Here is a 22,222-nt window from a genome sequence, read left to right as displayed (position 1 = left end):
TCATCAAGATGATTCCTGCCTTCTCTAGCTGCTTGGGAGGAGCTGAGTTTTCCTCTGCTGTGGGTGCTGGGAGGTGGTGGGTGTGGGTGTGGGTGCCTGTTTGGGGAGGGGAGGTGTTTGTGCTCCACTCAGCTCCCTTGGTTACATAACAGCTTTGATAAGACTTTACTTTGGATCTGCTGCTACTGCCTGAAGCAGTCACCCCTCCACCCCCACATGAAATGCTAGATGTCCACCCCCTTTTCCCTGGCCCCTTAGAGAGTCCTGCTCTTCCTGATCCACTGTTCCAGCAGCTGCTTCCTTGCCAGGAGGTGTCTGCAGCTTGCCTCCCTGCTCCCTTCCCAGCTTCTGCTTTCAAAATACTTGCTTCTTTTGTTATTTGAGCCCAGGTCACCACCTTTACATTTTTAAGCCTCCTGGTCTACCCTCTCCCTTGTAGGGCCCACAGGCTGGGAAGGGAGGGATTCACTGATCATGAAGCTCCCCTCTAGGGAAGAAAAGGGGTGTTTTCTAGGAGGTTTTAGCACCCACAGTTAATTTCCTTACTATTTCTTCCTCTGCCCCAGTAACTTTTGGAGTTTGAGAGTGTTAGACCTTTACCCAGAGGTGCTGGGAGGAAGGATTTTGGCCTTGATATTTTCTCTTTCTTTTCTTTCGTTCTTTCTTTTTTAGAGTTAAGGGGTTGCATATACGGGGGGATTGTCTCCTGGGTTTGAAGAGGTACACCTACTTTATTGTTACTCCTACCCAGGTTGTCTGAGGAAATACTCGTTTCTCTAGGCATGGGATGAGGACATGACAGGGCCCTTTTAAAAAAAAAAATGACGATTTTTTCCCACTGAGAGTGGGTGGGAATGGGATGTGTCCAGGAGTGGGTATATCTCATTGATAACAGGAACAACTTTCCAAATAGAGAAGTGGGAGACTAGCAAGAGGAGAGAGCAAATGCAAACTTGTGATGTACTTGGAGAGAATATGAAGGATAGAAGCCAGGGGAGGGGCTGGATATCTCTGCAAGATCTGGGACTCCAGTACACATGCATGCGTATTTCTGCCTGTGAGTGAGTATATGACTGTGTATATGTACATAAGTATATGTGAGTATGCTGTGTATATGTGTATAAGCACATCTATTTGTATAAGTGTGGATGTGTGTATATATATATGACTCTATGTATGCATTCATGTATATATGTGAATGTGAAGGAAATTACTGAATTAAACCAATGTGTGCATGTCTGTGTGTGTGTGTGTGGTGTGCTTATCCAGTAATGCCTTTGTGTGAGTGTAAGCATGCATGTGAGCATGTATGTGGGGCATGCATATACGTACCGTATCAACCACATATGAATATATGTACACAAGTTGAGGCAAACCTGTGAATAAATGTAAGAAAGAGAGAGACCGATTCTGACTGAACATTGGGCTACCCAAAAGTGTCTTCCCAACAGCTTGAGCTTGATCACCCTGCTACTTGTAGCTCTTCTCCAGAAAGTAGGCTCCCTGAGGTCTCTCAAATTCTTATGTCCTTGGGAGCCAACTGTTCTCCATCATATGAAAGAAGTTTGTGGAGGGAAAACCTATAAGGCCTTGGGGATAGCCAAGTAAGAAATCCAGGCTCCAGGCTGTTCAGATGCTATGGTGCTCAGGGCTGTATGTGGGGAAAGAGGATCAGGGCTTAAACATTGGCATTGCTACAGAAGTTTCAAAATTCAACAAGTTGGTCCTAGTGGATGAAAGGGGTAGTGAGTAAGAGGGGGGCCCAAGTGCATGCATAAGCCTCATACATACAAGATGTGACAATACACGTGTACAGGTACATGTGCATATTACTTGTCTGTGCCATAATAGGCATATATCAACATAGGTGCACTTTCTAACATGCACATCCATTAACAAATCTACAGGAGTGTCTATACCAACACGGGGATTTGTCAGCATGCACATACATGCTAACACGTATACTTGTGAACAGAATTTACAGAAATATGTGGGCATATGCTAACACTTGTCTGATTACAACCTATGGCCATATATATGTGCATCTCACTCATCTGGGTTAACAATAGCCTGCAAACATACCCTTCCCCATCGCAAGTGCCTCACCCAATGCATCCATTCATTCAACCAGCATGTATTTTATGCCTCTAATCTGCCACATGCTGTGCTGGGCACTAGGGATGGTCCTTGACCTCAGATAACTTGCAATCTTGGGAGAGCAAAGGACCTGGAACCAAATAAGGAGAGTGTTAAGGAGGGTAGACACACATAAGTGTTCATTGGAGGGAGTGGGGACCTAAAGAGAGGTAGGTTGGCTCTGGAGTGAGGAAGGGAAAGGTTTGGTAAAGGATCCATAGAAGGGGAGGCTTTTGAGTTGAGGTTTAAAAGTTGAACAGGTGCTTACCAGGTGAGCAACTGTGGGAACAGGTATTTCAGTGACAGGAAATGTTCCAGATGGTCTTCCCACTTCCACCCTTGCCAGCCCCACCTCCGTAGACTCTTTCCCAAAAAGCAGCCAGAGGAAAATGAGGTCTTGCCTTTCCAGTGGCTTTCCATCTCACTCAGAGTGAAATCCAAAGTGTAGTGCGTCCTGAGCAACGTGAGTGCTACGTGTGCAAAGCCCCCTATTACCTCCTGGATCTCAGGGGCCACTCCTACGTGGGTTTCTTTTCTGTTTCATAAAAAGCACAGTTCCTTGTGGAGGCAATTGCGCTTGCTTTTCCCCTCAGCCTGAAATGCTCTCTAGGCAACTCACTTCCTCACTGTATCCGAGTCTTTGCTCAAGTCACATTTTTGGAAAGACCTCCCCAACAGTCTATCTTGAATAGCCCATTGTCATTCTATCTCCTCACTCCATTATTATTACTATTATTATTTATCTCAGTACTTGCCACCACCATTATTTTATATATTTGGTAATCATCCCTCTTTTTCCACTAGAATATAAACTTCATGAGCATGGGAGCTTCATCTGTTTTGTTCATTGCTGTATCTACAGTGTCCAGAAGAGTATTCAGCTTGGAGTAGGCAGTCGATACATATTTGTTGAATAAAGAAATTTTAGCTAGCCGGCAGCCAGTGAGGAGAAAGGATCAAGGTGAACAAGATGCAAGGCAGGGAGACCAGTTAGGAACCTGTTGTCATAGCTTTGGTGAGCAATTAGGATAAGAGTGGCCTGATGTAGAACACCAGCAGTGGGAGTGGAGAAAAAGAGACACAATGTACAAACACATGCATGCACAAATGTACATGCATGTGCTTGTACTTTAATCACATCTGCTGTTTTAGTAGGGGAAGGCTAAGGAGGAAAGTAAAAGTGTCTTTATGTGTATGTGTGGTATGTATGTCATGAACACCTCATGACAGGCTGGACACCCTCCAGCTAATGCCAACTGCAGTTCTCCCTTCCTTTTGGATCTTGTCACCAATATCCCATGTATGTTCATTCCTGCCAGCCAGGCTGCAGAGGGCTGCCATGCGGGGTCTCTGTGGTTCCACCCTGTCAGTGATGCAGGGCTCCTGCCATAGGGAACAGGAGTTGGGAGCCAGGTCTTGAACAAAGGGAACGGTCTTAGGAGGTCAGAGCCACAGACAGAGACTTAGAGACACTTGGAGAGAGGCACGTGGACTGTGAGAGGAGTAGAGAGAAGGGGAATGGCTGCGGAGAGCTCAGAGATGGAGAGCTCAGGCATGGCCCAGACTTCCTGAAGCCAGATGTGGTGGGGGTGGGACAGCATACTTAGGCAGCTTCTAATGCCTGGCCCCAACCTCTTCCCTTCTTCTCCTGCTCCACTTCTGGTCCTCTACCCTGGTGGTGTGGATGCCTTAGCCAAGTATGGACTTAGGAATGATTTGTCCCCAGGGTTGTGATGTGAATTCAGGTATATGGGGAGACCTGGAGGAAGGGGTCCCCATTTGTATAACACATTTTTTGGTCTGGCAGTAGGGGAGTAATTTCTCTGAGTGTCTCAACTTTTGTTCTTTTCTTTTCTTTTCTTTTGAGATGGGGTCTCACTCTGTCACCCAGGTTGGAGTGCAGTGGCATGATCTCAGCTTACTGCAACCTCTGCCTCCTGCTTTCAAGCGATTCCCCTGTCTCAGCCTCCTGAGTAGCTGGGATTACAGGCACTTGCCACCACGCCCGACTAATTTTTGTATTTTTAGTAGATATGGGGATTTCACCATGTTGGCCAGGCTGGTCTCGAACTCCTGACCTCAAGTGATCCGCCCACCTCGGCCTCCCAAAGTGCTGGGATTACAGGTATGAGTCACTGCACCCGGCCTGGTTGTTTTCCTTTCTCCCAAGAGAGCATGGAGAATTGAGCTTGTGTTGCAAAATGAGCAACTGAGGTTAAACCTCAGGCAGGACCAATCAGCTGCTAGCATTAAGAGACTAAGGCATAGTATGTGGGGAAAGCTGGGAGGACAGCTGCTAAGAAAAGGAGGAAGTGGGAGTTGGGGGTCTGCCCCACCCCATGCCACTCCAGGGACCTCTGGTGGAGGGGAGTGGTCAAGGCCTAAGATCCTCTTTGACACTTCCTCCCCCGGACCTGCAAGCATGGGGCTGGGTCGAGAGGCCAGTGATAGAGCCCCTTCCAGGCTCTAGGGGTGAAGGGGGGCCTCTTGCCTCTCTCCTCTCTCATCTGGGCTAGGGGCCAGGGTGCTGCAGCCGCTCCCCTCCCACCTGGGCTGTGAGCATGGGGGTTGGGCCGAAACAGCCGCCAGAGCCGCCCACCTGCCCGCGGTGTCATGGCAACGACTCTGCCCACGTGGACGATGAGGAAAGGGAGGAGAAGAGAGGAGAGGAGGCATCACAGCAGACACGAGGATGGGAGGGGCTCTTCAGGGTCCTGCGGGTGGAAGCCCCCACCCCTCTAGCTTGGCCCCGGCCCTAGCTCCTTTCACCCCAGATCCCCTGGGGCAGGGTGGGGCTGGTGTTCCAGCTCTGGCCTCGGAGTGTGCATGTCCTTGGATGTCCTGAGTAATGATGACCTTGGCTTCCTGCACTGTGGGGCCCTGGCCAGGGTCCTAGGGTATATGGGGCTTTGGCATGCTCAGGCGTCTCCCTCTCTCCTTACCCCTCAAGTCGGGGATGGTGCCTGGGGCTGAGGGGATAAGAGCCCGACCTACTTCTCCATTTTCTCACTATTTTTCAAAAGGAAAATGACCCACTTTTCAGCCAATCGGACTGGGGCCTGTTCCCCGGCTGATTTCCTGAGCCCCCCTGCCCGGGCCTCTGCCCCATCCTCAGCCTATTAGCCACGTGCTGGACCCACTTCCTAAGGGTAGCAGGTGAACCTGTGTGGAGGGGTCCTCCCCTGCCATCTGCACCAGGCTGAGTCTGTTCTCAGTGAGGCAGGGGTGGGCCAAGGCCTGGCTGAGACCACATCAGCTCCGCATTGAGCAGACCCCCTTGTCTGCCTCCACCCTGGGCACTGTAAGGGTCCTGCTTGCCATCCCCATAGACCCCCAGGGCACACCTCGAGGTGAGGCAGGAAGGACTTCGGAAGGGTGGAAGGAGGATTCTGCCTCTCCTCTCTCCCTGTGTCAGTGGATGGTGGCAGGCTGTCTTCCCAAGCTGCTTCATTTCCACATGGAAAGGGAGCCTGTGGCACTAGAGAACCATGCCTGTCTGTCTGTCTGTCTGTATGCCTGGCTGGCAGAGTTCCTCTGAGAGACCCCCCCTCTGAGGGTTCTGCCTGTGCCTCATTTCCCAAGCCCCTCCTTTTCTCTAGGATATTGGTCTGGGCCTCCGAGCCCCCTCCCTCCCTCAGCTATATTGGCCTGGGCTGGCTTGGGGGGTGATTAGGGATTTAATTATTTAGTTTCTCCAGCTCAGTAGATTAATTCCATCCATCACAGGCAGGCTGAGCCTTCTTCCCCTCTCTGGACTGCCTGGCCAACCCCAGAGAGAAGGAGCATCATGGCTCACCTGGGCCTAGTACTGGATCTGGGAACAATGGATAAAGTTCTTGTTTGGGGAGGATTTAATGAATGACCTTGAGCAGATGTGGGTGCCTAAATGCTGTGAAATGAACATGTATTTCTGTCATATGGGGATAAACATGTGGACATGTATTTAAGGTTTTGTATCTGTGCAGCTTCTATGCACACAAACATCAAAGTCTATTGGATGGATAGCCACGGTGGCTCAAGCCTATAATCCCAGCACTTGGGAGGCCGAGGCAGGAGGATCACTTGAGCCCAGGAGTTCAAGACCAGCTGGGGCAACATAGTGACACTGTCTCTACAAAAAAATAAGAAATTAGCCAGGCACGGTGGTACATCCCTGTAGTCCCAGCTACCTGGGAGGCTGAGGCAGGAGGATTGCTTGAGCCTGGGAGGTCAAGGCTGCAGTGAGCCATGACAGTGCCACTGCACTCCGGCCTGGGTGACAGAGCAAAACCCTATCTCGAAAAAAAAAAAAAAAAAAGGAAAAAGGATCTATCGGATGGAAATGCACATGAGGTGTATGAACCCTCATAGGAACAAGTTTGTGTGGGTCTGGGTATACAGCGTGACAGTGACTATATAGATGAGGTCAGGTGCTGCGTAAGTTGTGTATGGATGACTGCGTGGCTGTGTAATTTGCCTCTGGCTGAACACCTGTTAATTTGTGAATGAACAGTCTTGGGGCAGTGTATAGCTGTGTATGAGGAAGAGATGACAGAGATGGAAGGTTTCCTGAGGCTGAGTGATGAGAAAGGGCACACTGGGGTCCACCTATTGGCCTCCTCAGACCAGTTTGGTCAGGGAGACATGCTACTTTAAAGGTGCTCTGAGGCCAGGCACGGTGGCTCACGCCTGTAAGTCCAACACTTTGGGAAGCTGAGGCGGGCAGATCACGAGGTCAGGGAGACCGAGACCATCCAGGCCAACATGATGAAACCCTGTCTCTTCTAACATGCAAAAAAGAATTAGCCAGACGTGGCGGCACGGGCCTATAGTCTCAGCTACTCGGGAAGCTGAGGCAGGGGAATTGCTTGAACCTGGGAGGCAGAGGTTGCAGTGAGCTGAGATCGTGCCACTGCACTCCAGCCTGGCGACAGAGCGAGTCTCTGTCTCTAAATAAATAAAATAAAATAAAATAAAATAAAATAAAATAAAATAAAATAAAATAAAATAAAATAAAAAATAAAAGTATTCTGTTCAGCCTAGGCCTTGGTCAGGCCTGGACCCAGACTCAGATTCAAATCCTTCTTCCACCATCTATGTGACCTTGGGAAATTTTCTTTACATTTCTAAGCTTCAGTTTCCTCACCTGTAAAATGGGAGTAATAATAGTGCCTACTGCAAAGGATAGTTGTGAGGATTATATGAAGAAAAACATCTAAAGCGCTTAACACTGGGTCTGGACAGTTGTAGGTATTCAGGAGCCTAACCTTAGACTTCAGAGTTGAAAGGCACCAGAGGTTGTCTGGTCTGAAATGTATTCAATGTATTCAGTGCTTGAATGCACTCTGTACCATCCTGCAAAGCAGTCCTCAACCTCTGCTTGCATGCCTCCCTGGACGGGACACTCCCACCTCTTTAGGAAAGCCACATCATGCTGTAGCGGTTCTATCTGCTGGGGAGTTCTGGTCCAGCTGCAGGGAGTCATCGCCTTCCTTTTCTCCCCTGTTTCTCCCTGTTTCTCTATGCCTTAGCTGTGGGGCACTCCTTGATGGCTCAGTTGCTGACCCTGAACTCACTGAGCACCTACTGTATGCCATGTGTGTTCATACAGAGATAGATCCCCTGAATCCTGGCCTTCAAGGAACTCACAGCTTACAAACAACTCTTTACCCTACTGTGGGGAATAGAGGTATGAGACCCAAGAGGAGCTGGCAATTGTGGTGTCCTGGGATTGATGGGAGGGCAATTTTAGGGGAAGGCCTCTTGGAAGAGAGTACACCCGTGCAGCAGCAGAGGGTTTAAGGTTGGGAGGACAGGGGTTTTGCAGTCTGAGCTGCCTTTTCTATGTGCTCTCATGCTGTGTCCCTTAGCTCCTGGCTGTCTTCTCTGAAACCCAGAGAGAGCAGAGGTATAGATATCCTTGAAGGTCAGGCAGGGTTTCAGGCAGAGCTGAGGGGTGGGAGGTGCCACGACGTGAACCTGGCAGTCAGCCAACCAGCCAGCCTTCGTGGTTGGCTTCCTGTGCTGGACTCTCCTGTGGGAAAGGCTCAGAAGGAGGGCTCAGGCCTTGTTGCTAGAAGCCCCTGTCTCAGCTCACACAGAGAGCTTACGGGACAGTGTGCTAATCCAGGAGGCTGTCCCAAGCTCTGGACACCAAGAGGGGACCAGATGCCTGGGCCAGAGAGTAAGAAAGGTCATTGGTATGGCCAGGCTGAGTAACTCCTGCCCAGTGGACCCCTGCCATGGGCTTGGGCTCCTACCTGCTATTCTTTGATGGCCCTGGCAGGCTCAGGTGTAGAGCATCCTGGAAGCTAGGGCAGCACGAGTCCAAATCACATACAAATGAAAGAAGGTGCTTTGGTGCTAAAGTCAAAAGAAGCCAACATATAGAGACATATGTGCAGTTTCTTTGGATAGGTCAGCTTAGTTACTCATTGCCGCAAGCTAAGGAGGTAGGTATTGTGATCCCATTTTACAGATGAGAAAACTGAGGCTCAGGCAGATAACACAAATTGCTCATGGGCATAAAGGTAGGTTGTGACATAATGGATGGAGGTGGATGATTGGCTTTCCAATACCCAGCTATGAGGTTGCTGGCTTTCCCTTCCAGATCCCTGGAGTTACAAGAGAGACCACTAACCCTGGCTACAGGGGTTTGTGGGAGTCTGCAAATCAAGGTCCTCTAGTCCTCTCAGGTGCCACCATCTTTGGCTACCAGGTCTTTGCTCTGCTGTCTTTGGTACGCTTAGGGTGTGGGAGGTCTTCAAAAGAAGCCCAGGCAAACAGAAATTCCTGCATGCGTGAAAAAGATGAGTTTTCAGACCACCCATTTCCGATCCAAACCAAGTCATGTATGGATAGTTACAGCCTTTGCCCAAAGCTGTCTAGAGATCCTCTCCCTGTCTCCAAGTCTCATGCATTTAAGTAGTTTCTCCCTAGTTAGCAATAGCTAACCCTTAGCACTGTGCTAGATACTTTACCTGCATTATCTTAGTCCTTGTAACATCACAATGAGAAAGGGACTACTCTTGCTCCCATTTGAAAATGGGGAAACTGAACTTGAGAGAGGCAAACAGGCTTCCTTGAGGCCACACGTCTAGTAAGTGGTGGACCTGGGATATGGACTCAAAACAGTTTAGCTTAAGACCCAGAAGCCACAGTTGCTCACCAGCTGCCCCTAACGAGGGTCCTAGAGGAGTTCGGGTCCTAGAGGAGTTCTGGTCCTAGAAGTCCTCTCTCTCAGCAGTGTGCAGTCTTCTCCAAAGAAGGCCCCTGGAGACTTTCAGGAGAGGGGAAAAGTGGAAATGATAAGGCAGCACAGCCTAAGAATTGGTTCAGTTGACAGAAAAGGAAGAGATAGCTGAGAAAAGGCTGGAAGCAGTTGGCCATGCCTGCAATTAGGGGGCATGAAGGAGTGAGGCTGATCAGGCTGAATTGTGTCTCAAAGGGCCTATGGCAGCCCTGGAGAAGGAGGAGGAACCTCCTCCAATGCCTGTTGGGTACATGGCCCTAGCTGGGAAGGGAGCTGGGGCCCAGCAAGTCTGAGTGAAGAGACCTATGTGGGGCTGGGTGGTAGACCCCGAACCCTGCTCCTGCAGCCCATCCCTGAAAGTTGTGCCTCATTCTTTCTCTCTGCAGCATGGGGAGGGCCACCTTTTTCCTTCTTATTCTCCCTTCTCCCTCCACGACCTTCCCTGAGCTATGCAGAGGGACATATCTGGGGGAGACCTAGATGCAACTGGAAAAGAACCATCTTTACCTGCTAAGCAGAGCGGCTAGACAAACATCATGAACAAGGCTGGGTATAGAGGCTGGATTTCTAATACCAGATTCTCCAGGACTCTCCAAAGCCTTTGAAGAGAAAGGAGTGGAGGTCCTTTCTGTGGGCCGTTGTACATAGGAGCAGAGTGGGTGAGGGCAGCAAGGGAAAACATTCATTCACAGAATAGGTATTTTTTGAACACCGTTTAGTGGCAGGCATTGTTCTAGACACTCAAAATGCTGCAGCACACAAACAGACACAGTCCCTGCCCTTCTGGAGCTTATATTCTACTATGGGGAGACATACTATAAACACGCAATAGACAAAGAAAATAATTTCAAAGGGCAATCAGTGCTCTGAGGGCAATGAAGCAGGTGATATAGAACATACCCAGGGTTGCAGCTCAACTTTAGTTGGAGCGAGTGATCAGGTAGGCCTCTCTGTCTCTTCCGAGGCAGAGGAAGCCATGGGAATATCTGGGGCAGAGTGTTCCAGCAGAGAGAACATCAAGTGCAAAGCCCCCTGAGGTGGGATTTTCAAAGAGATTATAGGTAGTGTGGGTTATTCACAGGCCGAGCACCGTCCAGTGGGTCAGGAGATGGATTTAGACTTGTATCTGCCTAAATGGCTCGAGTGTTTTGGAGCTGTAAACCCATTTTCTGTAAAATTTCTGCCCTAAGCCCCTAGGAAGAGTTGATTAAATAAAGTAATAAAGATGAATGAATAAAACGGCAAGCCTTCCTCCTTCCTTTCTGTTCCCCCTTCTTCCTTCTCCATTTTCTGGGGCAGTGAGGGGAAAAGGAGGTGATTTCCCTTGGGGTCCTAAGGAGTGGGGTTGGATACAAGGCATGCCAAGTCTTCAGCAACAGGGCTGGCTAGTGGGGTTGAGGGAGGCCAGGGACTAGGACACCAGCCCAACTACAGAGATCCTGCCACAGGCATCTGGGCAAAGCCAGTGTCAAATCAGTCAGGGGGGCTCAGTCAGAAATGGATGCAGGAAGAGACAAGGGGCTGGGCCGGAGCGGGCAGAGGGATGCCTATCCATGGGCACAGTTGAATAATCAGGGGTATGAGCTGCAGGTCAGAGGCTCTGTGTTAGGGCTCCCAGTGTGAAGGGCTGGACAGAGAAACCGAGGCACAATCCTGTCTATACTGGTTGGTTAACACAGGGAGAGGGAGTGGGTAGACAAAGCCTAAAACTGTGGGATCCCAGGGACACACATGGCTTATCACAGGCATGGAGGAGCCAGGCCAACAGCAGCAAAATGAATTCTAGGCCTCACTTGCTGGAAGTTCTGCTGTGTTGGAACTGGTGTGGGGATGATCTCATAGGCTCCAGGTGAGGGGATTGGATAGGGCTGACCTTCACAAGGGAACAACTCTTAACATTTTGCTGCTGTTTGGATCGTCATGTCCAGCTTGTAGCTCTCCCAGACAACTTCCTGGGGAAGGAGTGAATTGGCTAAAATTTGACTTTTGAAGTCTTCATCTTGGCCCAAGGCATCACTTTGTGCCAAATGCTGAGATACTGGTCTTTGTCAAACACACCTGGATCTCTGGGTACCCAGATGTGGACAATCTAGAGTGAGAACACCTTATCTTTTCCCCAGGTGAGTGTCTTTCGTCTTAGATGGTCATCCAGAGAAATTAAGTGACCTACCCAATATCACACTGTAAACCAATGGAGGAAACAATGATAAAGATAGCTACCGTTAGTGAGTCTTTATCATGTGCCAGGGACAGTTCTAAGGGATTTATATGCTTTACCTTGTTAAACCTTACATCATTCATACCTTTATTATGGCCCTAATATTATCCCCATTTTACAGATGAGGAGACAGGTTAAGAGAGGTGAATCACCTACCCAAGTACACACAGCCAGTAAGTGAGTGGAAAGGGATTTGAGCCCACAGAGTCTGATGACAGAGTCCACACCAACAACTGCTTTAATCAAGAGAGTTTGTGACTTGCCTAGGTCTCAAGAAAGGAAAACCAACTGATTTGGCTGGGCAGGGCCCTGGTGGAGAGGGAGAGAAAACACTCTGACTCCTTCTCCCATTTTCCTTCTTTTTCTGGAAGGTAATTGCTTGGGGCAGTGACAACCTCCTGGCGAATTACACAGCTGGTTTCCCAGTGAGATTTGTAACAACAACCCTGCCAGCCTGGCAGCCCCCAGCAAGTTCCGGTTTAAGAAACTAATTGCTGGATTGTGTAGTTGGTGCTAAATTGGGTAATTTCTTGGTGACGGCATCTGTGCCACTTCTTCCATTCCCAGATAGATTCGAGCTGCATCAGAGAAGAATTTGTCACACACGGCACCCTCCCAGACTCCTTCAGTCACCATTTTCCAGCCAGCCATAGGCTACTGCAAAAGTGGCTGCTTCCGTCGGCCCCCAGCTTCACCATTCGGGCAGCTCTCTGTGTCCTGGGATAGTGGATGGATGATTTGGTGCAATAAAAATGGGAAAATAACACCAGCACCCAGAATTGTCATAGGACTTCAGGGAGCATCCTTTATTCTATACTAATCTGACCTTGGGCTTGGTATAAACTCAGTGCTCACCACACATGGGAAAAGGCTAAATCACACTCTGGTTAGCTCTGGGAGATATGTATGGATGAGGTCTTTTTATTTGTTTGTTTGCTTTAAAAAAACATATTCACTTCCATTACTGTGCCCACTTCAGAATGGCGTTGAATAAGTTTGACTTCTCTGGGCTGGCAACACAGACAGGGGAAAAGCTAAGGCTTTGGAATCGGCCAACACTGGATTTGACTTCTGGCTTTGACAACAGCTCTCGGTGTGACCTTGGGGAGCTCAGTTAGCCTCTCCAAACCTCAGTTTCTTCTTCTGTACACTGGAAGGTGGTGGGGGGGGGGTGGATAATATCTATCCTTTGGAATAGTTGTGGGAATCACATAAAATATCATAAACGAAAGCATCTTGTTCTTTGTAGACTCACATTCACTCAACAAATGCCTGCCATATGCTAAGCATTGTTCTAGGGACTGGGGAGAATTCAGTGGATAAGATGGATAAAATTCCTGCACTTATGTGGAGCTTACATTCTAATGGGAGAGATGGACAATCTAGGAGTCACACAAATTTAAAATGGTAACAATATAAGAGACAGGTACATGGTGCCTTGAGAGCAAACAGCAGGGGGATCTGACCTAGTCAGGGAGGCCAGAGAAAGCTTCCCCGAGGAAGCAACAACTGGGCTGAGATCTGAAGGGTGTGTAGGAGTTAGCAAGGCAGAGGTGGGTAGGAAAAGCTTTCCCAACAGGGGGAATAGGCCCCGTGATGTGAGGGATCATGGGACTGACAAAAGACTGTCCTGGCTGCCGCAGAGAAAGCAAGGGGAGCATGTTGTGAGAGGATGTTGGAAAAGTAGGAAGGGCCAGACCCTGCAGGCCTTGTTGGACAAGCGAAGGCATTTTATCCTAAGAACATCAATAAACCAATGAAGAGTTTTAAGCAGAGAAGTGACATGATGAGATTTGCATTTTCAAATGACCATTTGGATTGGAGCGGGGTAAGAACGGAAGCAGGGAGACCAGTTAGGAGAAGACGTGCAGACATGCAGGCAGGAGATGGTGTTCTCAGGAACAGTTGGATTCGTTAGCAGTGCTTTCTGCTGCAAATACTACAGGAAATCTGGCCAACAGTGGTTTAAATAAAGAGCGCATTCCTTATCACATGTAGACCTGGAGTAAAGCAACTGTTAATGTTGGTTCCATGGCCCGATGATGCCAGAACTGACATCTCTGCAGTTCTCTAGGCCTTTTGTGGTGGCAAGATAGCGGCCCTAGCTCTGGTTGTAGTCAAGCCAAGAATAAGGGGAGGAAAGATGGCACTAGCAATTCCTACCCCTTTGGTCACAAAGGCAAAATCTTTCCCAGAAACCCTCATCATGCTTCCATGTGTATATCATTAGCCAAAATGGAATCATGTGGCCTCTAGTTACAAAGGAGGCCAAGATAAGGACAAGGAGGCTGGGAATGAATTTTAGCGAGTCAGCCAACAGTGATTTGGTGGATGTGGAATAAAAGGCACATCTGTTTTTTTTTCTTAGGAAGCAAAATCCATAGAGCATGGTGGTGGATTGAATTATTAGTCCCTTCCTCACTTGTTTTTCCCTCCCATTGATTTTGTTTAGTAATGGAGTGAAGGTGGGTGATGTGGGGGGAGGAATGTGATCATAAAGCATAATATATAGGAGGAAGCCAGTTGTTAATTAAATATTTTCTTTAGAAAATCCATAAATTGGATATCTCCTGCTCCCAGTAATTTGGATTTGATTATATTGTTTACTATTTGGACACTGGGGATTTTGTAAATCCAAAAGAAAGGCTTCTCATGAGGGATTACATGTATTAATGTTTTAGAGTTTGTAAGAGTGATTTTATTATTTGATACCTATTGAAATCCTGGGAGATAGGTGAGCAGGTGTCCTGAGGCTTAGAGAGGGTAGGCCGCCTCTGCTACGTCAGGTGTCACATACGTTCTGGTCTCAGGACTTGTGCTTTTCCACTATACAGGGCTTCCCTGTAGGATCTGGGTAAAGGAGTTGAGGGGTGATCTGTCTGGAGAGCAGCAATTATAGGGCCCATCTTCTCCAAGACAAGAGCAAGGAGAACATGGATTGATGCCAGAGGGGCTGAAGTTTCATAGGATCTTGATGAAAGCTGAGCAGCTTGCCAGCAGCACCTGTGTGAAGCAGGAGACAGAGGGGCACCTGGGAATGTCCACCCCTGGGAAGTTCTGTGAGGCTCTAGCTTGATGTCACCATGCACAGAGCAAATGGGATAGTCTGGGCTTCTGCCAAAGTGGCCTTTTGTGCTGTGAGTCTCAGATATGGGTCCTGCCTGGGGCAGGAAGAGGGAAGAGAATGACATGGATGAAGGACCAGGCTTTCTGTCTTCTTTCCAAGGCAGAGAGATGCTTCCAGGTGCTTTTTCAACAACTATTTGAGAGGCTATCTTGATCTGATATTCCCTCTGTTTCCCCAAAGAAGGGCAATGGAAGATAATTGTCATCTAGAGCCAGGCAGTTGGTATCTGTGAGGTCACCCTAGTCTCTCTTTGGGCAGGGTAACCAACAGCTTCTACAGTCCAGGCTCCAGGGTGGGCCAGGGGCTGGGTATGTCTCACCTTGTCCTCTATGGAAGATTTCTAGGAAACCACAGTCTTCTTCATTGTCTCACATCCTTCAGGGTCAGGAAGTTCTTCCTGATGTCTGACTGTGCCTCTTCCACTACTATTAATCACGCTTGCAAAGCTAGCTCTTCTTCCTGACATCCCTGTGTCTAATAATGACATCATTAGTCTTCCAGTCACGGCTGCTGCAAACTTCAGAGTCGTCTTCCTTTCTGATTTTCTCTCTCCTATTCCCACTATTTGCCATTTCCTGTCTGCCAGAACTCTCTGAGCCTACCCCTTAGAATTCCCTATTTGCACACCTCTTCTCCCTGTGCTTGTTGTTTCCTCCACTGGGTAGGTTCTTTTCCTCATCACCTATGTGTATGGGACACACAGACATCTTGTACTCCATCACAAACATCCTCTCCTCTGAGAAGTCTTCCTTGATTGACCTCTATTGAATCTTGTCCCATTCTCATCTGACGTAGCCTAACATTTTGGTACCTCTTTCCAGCACAGCCATTTATTCATCTACTTAGTGAGTGTTTATTAAGGACTGGCCCTGGGCAAAGCCCTGAGTTAGGTGCTGGAGATCCAGAGATGAATAGGACTTGGTTCCTATTCTGAAGAAGACCACATTCTAGGTGAGGAGATAGAAACCGAAACAGACATTTTCAATGCAGTGTGATAGCTGCTTTCATGGGGACACCCAGGGTGTTATAAAAGCCCGATAAAGAGCATAACCTAGAATAAGAGCACAGAAAGTCTTTAAGGGAAGGTGGGGCTTAATATGAGTAAGTTTTAGCCAGGGGGAGGGCTTTGAGGTGGATGAAAGGAAATTCTAGGAGGAGGGAAGAGTTAGTGCAAAAATAAAGTGGCCTGAAATAACTCTGTCACGTGAGAGGTTGTTCCCCTGTTAGACTATAAACCCCTCGAGGACAGGGACCACTCTTAAATCACCTCTATACACTTCTCACTCTCTTGCTTATGGTAACTGTTCAATAAATGTTTGTGGAATGGAATCATATTTGAGGGCAATGGAAAAAAAAAGAAAAAACAACGCAGTGGCTCAGCACCATGGACAGATCCCACAGACACCTGCAGTTGGAGATAGTCCAACCTGTAAGCTCATTTGAATGTATTTGCATAATGAAGCCAACCTCATTTCCCTGGGGGTTCAAAGGCTCTGCATCATGGGGGATCCAATCAGTCCTGGTTTGGGGGAGTTGGGAAGGGAAGCTGTCAGGGCCAGAGACCGGTCCTCTGAGGACTGTGGGAAAACGTCTCTCCCCTTTTGCTTACCATCCTTTTCTTTTCCATCAGGATTCAGTGGTCCTGAGCCTTCTGAAGTTAGGCTTCTGCCTGGTGGTGGGGATCCTGACATCAAGGATGGGACACCCTGGATGGTGAGTGATAGAAGAGTCTGGGAGATGGGGATTAGACTCAGGTTCTCATACCAGAATAATGGGTTTGAATCTTGATTCAAAGTGACTCATCCACTTACTGGCTTTGTGACCTCAACGTTTTGAGCTCAATTTTCTCATGGGTAAGTGTGGATAATACCTGCATTACAAGATTTCAGTAAGATTAGAGAATATCAGGTATGCACAATACCTGGTATATGGCGAGTACTTGGGAAATAGTAGGAGATGAGGGGTGAGCAGGATCTGGAAGAAAGGTGGGTGTGGGGAGGTGGTGGTAGGGAGAAAGAGAATGAGTCCTGGAGGTGTTGCTGTCTGGAGCCTTTGAGGCTGTCATCCCTCCTAGTCAGCAGATGGCCCAGGAGCCTGGTCGAGGATGAGGGAGGGCACCGTCTGCCAGCTCCTCTGTCCCTGTCCCTCCTGCTGTCACTCCCTCCTGCCGTAGCTCCTATCCTGGCAGCTCCTGGAGTCCTGATTGGAGGCAGCTCTTGCTGAGAGCTGACCTCTCTGTCCTGTAGCCTTGGCAAGTCTGGGATGGGGGCCAGGAGCACTGGTTCCAGAGTTTTTTCTCCATCACTTTCCTGCCTTGCCTTCCCTCTGTTCCTGGGAGGAGGAACTCCTGGGTTCCAATCCCAGTTTAGGATTCAGATGCTACTGTGTGTAGCCGCTGTTCTTCTTCTTTATGGATTTTCCTCCTTCATGATTCCCCTCCAGTGGAATGGGAATGGAGGGTGGGGGTAAAAGGCAAAAGGGGTAATTTCATAGGGAAAATATTTGGAACCCGGAAGAGGAAGGAGGAAGAGTCATCTCAGATTCTCCTTATTTCAGTCCACAGGGGAGGGAGAATGAGCCTGCAGCCAGATGGAATGCACAGGGTGTGGAAGGAAGGGGAGGAATTTTTCTGTGGGATGGTGCTGGATATGTAGATTTGGGTCCAGTGTTCTCTTTGTTCACAGCAGCTGGGAGCTGTGACCCTGAGGCCTGGCTCTTGCAACAGTGGGGTGTAGGGCAGGGTTGGAGTAGAGATGTGGCTGTGGATCTATTTGCCTAATGCCAGCTTGTTAAAAGCTAGTTCACCTAAAGACTGGTTTCTTTGACTATTTTATGTCTCCCTGGGTATGCTTTTGTTTTTGGTAATCTAAGGACATATTCACACACATACACACACATCCCAAAGTATATCTATATATTTACACATAAATGTGTATATATATGTATATATAAAAATATTTCTATGTGTATATAAAAATATATATGCATTTATAAATATTTATTAATATACATTTACAAATATAAAAACAAACAAATATATATATATATATAAATTTAGAGGCCAGGTCTCGCTCTGTTGCCTGGGCTGGAGTGCATTGGTATAATACAATCATAGTTCACTGCAGCTTTGAGCTCTTGTGCTCAAGTGATCCTCCCTTCTCAGCTTCCCAAGTAGCTGGGACTACAGGCATATGCCACCACATCTGGCTAATTTAAAAAATTGTTTTGTAGAGACAGGGTCTTGCTTGGTTGCCCAGGTTGATCTCGAACTGCTGGGCTCAAGTGATCCTCCTGTCTTGGCCTCCCAAAGTGCTAGCAGTACAGGTGTGAACCACTGTGCCCAGTCTCTAAGGACATTTAAAAACCCATTTGACTGAGGGAATATCCTCTTGTGAATAAGTATTTATCAGATTTGCAGTATTCATTGAATGATGGGATTATTTTGTGCCCTTGAGTGTCTATGTCTATTATGACCATTTAAAGGACTTTTTAGTCCATTTGTGGGAGGGTAGTGTGATTAATCATAATAAATTGATATGTATTACCTAAAGGGATACAAGGATGCCTAATAAAAGATGGTTTTAGGTGAAGAGGGCTGTTCAATTCAAATACCTTTTCTCCCTATTTTTCCAGGAGGTTCCTGGGGCCTGGCCCCCAAGACTATGAAGAGCCTTTGCTGAGGCCATGAGGGGTTACCATGGCGACCGAGGCAGCCATCCCCGCCCAGCCCGCTTTGCTGACCAACAGCATATGGACGTGGGCCCTGCTGCCAGGGCCCCATACCTGCTGGGCTCCAGGGAGGCCTTCTCCACCGAGCCCCGCTTCTGTGCCCCGAGAGCTGGCCTGGGACACATTTCTCCTGAAGGGCCCCTGAGCCTGAGTGAGGGGCCGTCGGTAGGCCCTGAGGGAGGGCCAGCGGGGGCCGGGGTTGGGGGGGGTAGCAGCACCTTCCCCAGGATGTACCCTGGCCAGGGCCCCTTCGACACCTGTGAAGACTGTGTGGGCCACCCACAGGGCAAGGGTGCCCCCCGCCTGCCTCCTACACTCCTGGATCAGTTTGAAAAGCAGTTGCCAGTTCAACAAGATGGCTTCCACACACTACCATACCAGCGAGGGCCAGCAGGGGCAGGGCCCGGGCCAGCGCCAGGGACGGGCACTGCCCCAGAGCCCCGCAGTGAGAGCCCTAGCCGCATCCGGCACCTGGTTCATTCTGTGCAGAAGCTCTTTGCCAAGTCCCACTCTCTGGAGGCGCCGGGGAAGCGGGACTATAATGGGCCCAAGGCTGAGGGAAGAGGTGGCTCTGGAGGAGACAGCTACCCCGGCCCGGGCTCTGGAGGCCCCCACACCTCCCATCACCACCATCACCACCACCATCACCACCACCACCAGTCCCGGCACGGCAAGAGGAGCAAGAGCAAGGACCGCAAGGGGGATGGGCGGCACCAGGCCAAGTCCACAGGCTGGTGGAGTTCCGATGACAACTTGGACAGTGATAGCGGCTTCCTGGCGGGTGGGAGGCCCCCTGGGGAGCCTGGTGGTCCCTTCTGCCTGGAGGGTCCAGATGGGTCCTACCGGGACTTGAGCTTCAAGGGGCGCTCGGGCGGGTCGGAAGGCCGCTGCCTTGCCTGCACTGGCATGTCCATGTCACTGGATGGACAGTCGGTCAAGCGAAGTGCCTGGCATACCATGATGGTCAGCCAGGGCCGGGATGGATACCCGGGGGCCGGGCCAGGCAAGGGGCTCCTGGGTCCGGAGACCAAGGCCAAAGCCAGGACTTATCACTATCTGCAGGTGAGGCTTTTTTGGGGTTGGGGAACAGAGTCCTTAGCCTTCACCAGTCTTGTCAACTAGGGAGCAGTGGAAAGGGTTGGGTGGGAGCCAGCTGTCCCTGTGATGGAGGGCCTGGGTGTAGGGAGGCTCTGCCCTGCCCCATTGGGTCACTCTGAGCTCCTTTGGGGCTTCACTTTCCCCATTTGTGCAATGAAGGGGCCCTTCTGTTCTAATGATGTGTCTGTCCCTAGAGATTTTCCCTTGACCTACTGTTTTGGACAGGCTGTGCTGATATCTGTCTTCGGAGGTTGGAGGCATAATGAAGTTGAGGGCAGGCAGTAGACAGGATAGAGAGGTGCACCTTAGTTGTAGCTGCTCTCAAGATTGAAGGTCGGCAGTTGGAAAGCAGTTCTCCTGCCCCAAAGCCTTCTCCAGCCCTCTTTTCTGCTATAATCCGGATGGCCCACATGTTTGAATATGAAGATCAGTTATTTCTAGAATGTGCCTCTGCTGAGGTTTGTCATTCCGGGGTACCGGTGGTGGGACAGCCGAAGCTGTGGAGGGGTCCTGGGAGTTTCATGTGTCTCATGTGTTTTCCTAGGCTGGGGGACAAACTGGGTTTCAGCCCTGATACAATTCAGGCAGGGCCTCCCGGGAGTGGATGGTGCAGGTGATAGCTGGCATGCTGTTCTCATCTTGTCTTACCACATTTATGGTCTCTGCAGGTGAGGCCAGGAACTCTGATTCCTACTTTTTATGGAGCCTTCACCCCAGCCTCATCCAGCCCACATCGTTTTCTTAAGTCCTGCCGTAATTTTAGGAGAAAAAGTCAATACAAGTTCTGGAGGTCCAGTGTATTTCCGCATTCGACATAGTTGATACAGATCTATTTATTCAATGAGCGTTTTCTGGGTGCTGTGGATACAAAGATGAAGATACAGATGCTGCTTGTGAGGAGCTCACAGTGTAGAGTGGGAATAGACAAGGAAGCAGATAGAATACAGTGTGATGAGGCTGTGATAGGGGAGAGCCCTGGGCATCTTGGGAACACAGAGGAGACACCTCACTGACCTGGGTGAGGAATGTCCCCTGAGCTGAATCTCAGTGGAGGAGTTGCAGTTGTTGAGTGCTGGCTAAACGTGTATTGGGAAGAGACTATACAGCATGTTCAAAGGTATGGAGAATAGAGGCTGTGTGTGTCTTTGTGGGGCATTGGCCTTGCTGGGTAAGTTGCACACAAGTTAGGGCTCTCCTGGAGAACTCATGAAGGCCCAAGGGAGCACATAGGGCCACAGTGCAAGCAAGAAGGGACTTCTGGATTGGCCTGGTTTGCCCCCTCCCTGGGTAGGGAGGTGCTCTAAGCTGGGAACTGCAGGGTGCAGGGAGGCAGCACCCATCCTTTCTCCCCCATAGCCGATTCCTTGCCATCCCTGAAGACTTGTTGCCATTTCGCTGCTCCCTGCTGCTGCTTCAGGGCTGCCCTGACCTCCCTGGGGGCTTCCTTTTTAACATGCACCTCACAGTGTCCTGCAGAGGAGCTCTGCAGTGGCTAGAATGGGAACCCTGCAGTATGGCCTTCCCATCTGCTGGCCTGCCTCTCTCCACCTGCCTGCTGCTCTCTGTAGAGAATGGGGAAGGGGAATGATCCCTCCGGTCTGGAGTTCCAGGGCATCTGAGGACTGGGAAGTCTGAGCCCATGTGGGGAAGAACCAAAGGGCTATAGGGACCCTCCAGACAGCCTCGCACTCCCCTGGTACAAAAGCAGGGGAGGCTGGCCCCATGAGGCCAGGTGTCTTTGCTGGACTCCCGATCTGATTGTCAAAGCCCTGTTTCTCCCACTGGGTACCAGCTTTCTCTTAAGCCTTTTCCAGGATCCCTCTGTCCACTCTGAGCCCCTGTTTCTTTATGGAGCCTCATCTCTTTGTTTCCCATCATCCAAATGAGCCCTAGCCCCTTGAAGAGCCCTGCTCCTGCCCGTGGGTTCCTTCAAGGGACCCCATCTCATCCCCAGAGTCTCCACCTTTCCCCTGAACCCTATGCTGTCCCTGAGGCGTTACCCCTTTTGGAGCTCCCATCCCTACCCCATTTAACCTGTTCTTTACACAAGTGTTTTAAATCCTCCCTACCTCCCCCAGTCCTCTCCCCCACGTCTTCACTTACACCTCATTTTCCGAAGTGTAGGCTGACATCACGGACTCCCTCAGCTTCCTGACAGCATCTCTCTAGACGCATCCAAATTCCCAGCCACCCTCGTCCCCTTCCTTGGCTCATAGGAAAAGCTGGGACCACCCATCCCAGGCCGATCCTTCTTCCAGGGCTTGATCCCATCTCATCATGACCCCCTCCATCCCTGAACTGTTCTCCCTTCTGAGGTTTAAAGACTATTTTTACTGGCTCTTTCCATCATTCTGAAAACATGTCCAAAGTCGCTTGCATCCTAAAAAATATTTCTGCAGCCCCATCCCACCTTCCATGTCCTTCATAATCGAGTTCTTAGAGCATAGACACCTACTCTTCACTTCCCTTCAATTCTCCCCTCACTGTGGTCTGATTTCCAAACTCCCTGTCATTGACATGTCCTGGCAGTGGCCACAGATGATCTCTTGAGCGCTATCTTCAAAAGCTACTTTTCAGTGCCTATAATAATTGTTACCATTTATTGAGCACTTTCTATGTCCTGGAAACTCTCTATTGGCTCATTTATCTTTGCCACCAACCCTCTGATGTAGGCATAAGTATC

General features: G+C 49.4%; 1 protein-coding gene across 3 annotated transcripts in view, besides 1 other annotated feature; it reads left to right on the top strand.

The window, feature by feature from the left end:
• DLGAP3 (DLG associated protein 3) overlaps window positions 1–22,222 on the top strand; it is a 64,215-nt gene that overhangs the window by 5,871 nt on the left and 36,122 nt on the right. For all 3 annotated transcript variants that reach the window (NM_001080418.3, XM_011541879.3, XM_047426631.1), the window contains 2 exons: window positions 16,343–16,425; window positions 18,346–19,503. In NM_001080418.3, the coding sequence (NP_001073887.1) occupies window positions 18,397–19,503 (1,107 nt within the window). In that variant the 5' untranslated portion in view covers window positions 16,343–16,425; window positions 18,346–18,396. The remainder of the gene's footprint in view (window positions 1–16,342; window positions 16,426–18,345; window positions 19,504–22,222) is intronic.
• Window positions 15,903–16,103: a silencer, noted in NCBI's record as "peak171 fragment used in MPRA reporter construct". NCBI's record gives its function as "represses an SCP1 promoter by STARR-seq MPRAs in K562 erythroleukemia cells {active_cell/tissue: K562}" and the evidence as "EXISTENCE:reporter gene assay evidence [ECO:0000049][PMID:32103011]".

This window comes from Homo sapiens, chromosome 1 (assembly GCF_000001405.40).
Source record: "Homo sapiens chromosome 1, GRCh38.p14 Primary Assembly".
Classification (NCBI taxonomy): domain Eukaryota; kingdom Metazoa; phylum Chordata; class Mammalia; order Primates; family Hominidae; genus Homo; species Homo sapiens.
Note: the sequence above shows the minus strand (reverse complement) of the source record. Positions and strands in the feature narration are given on the sequence as shown.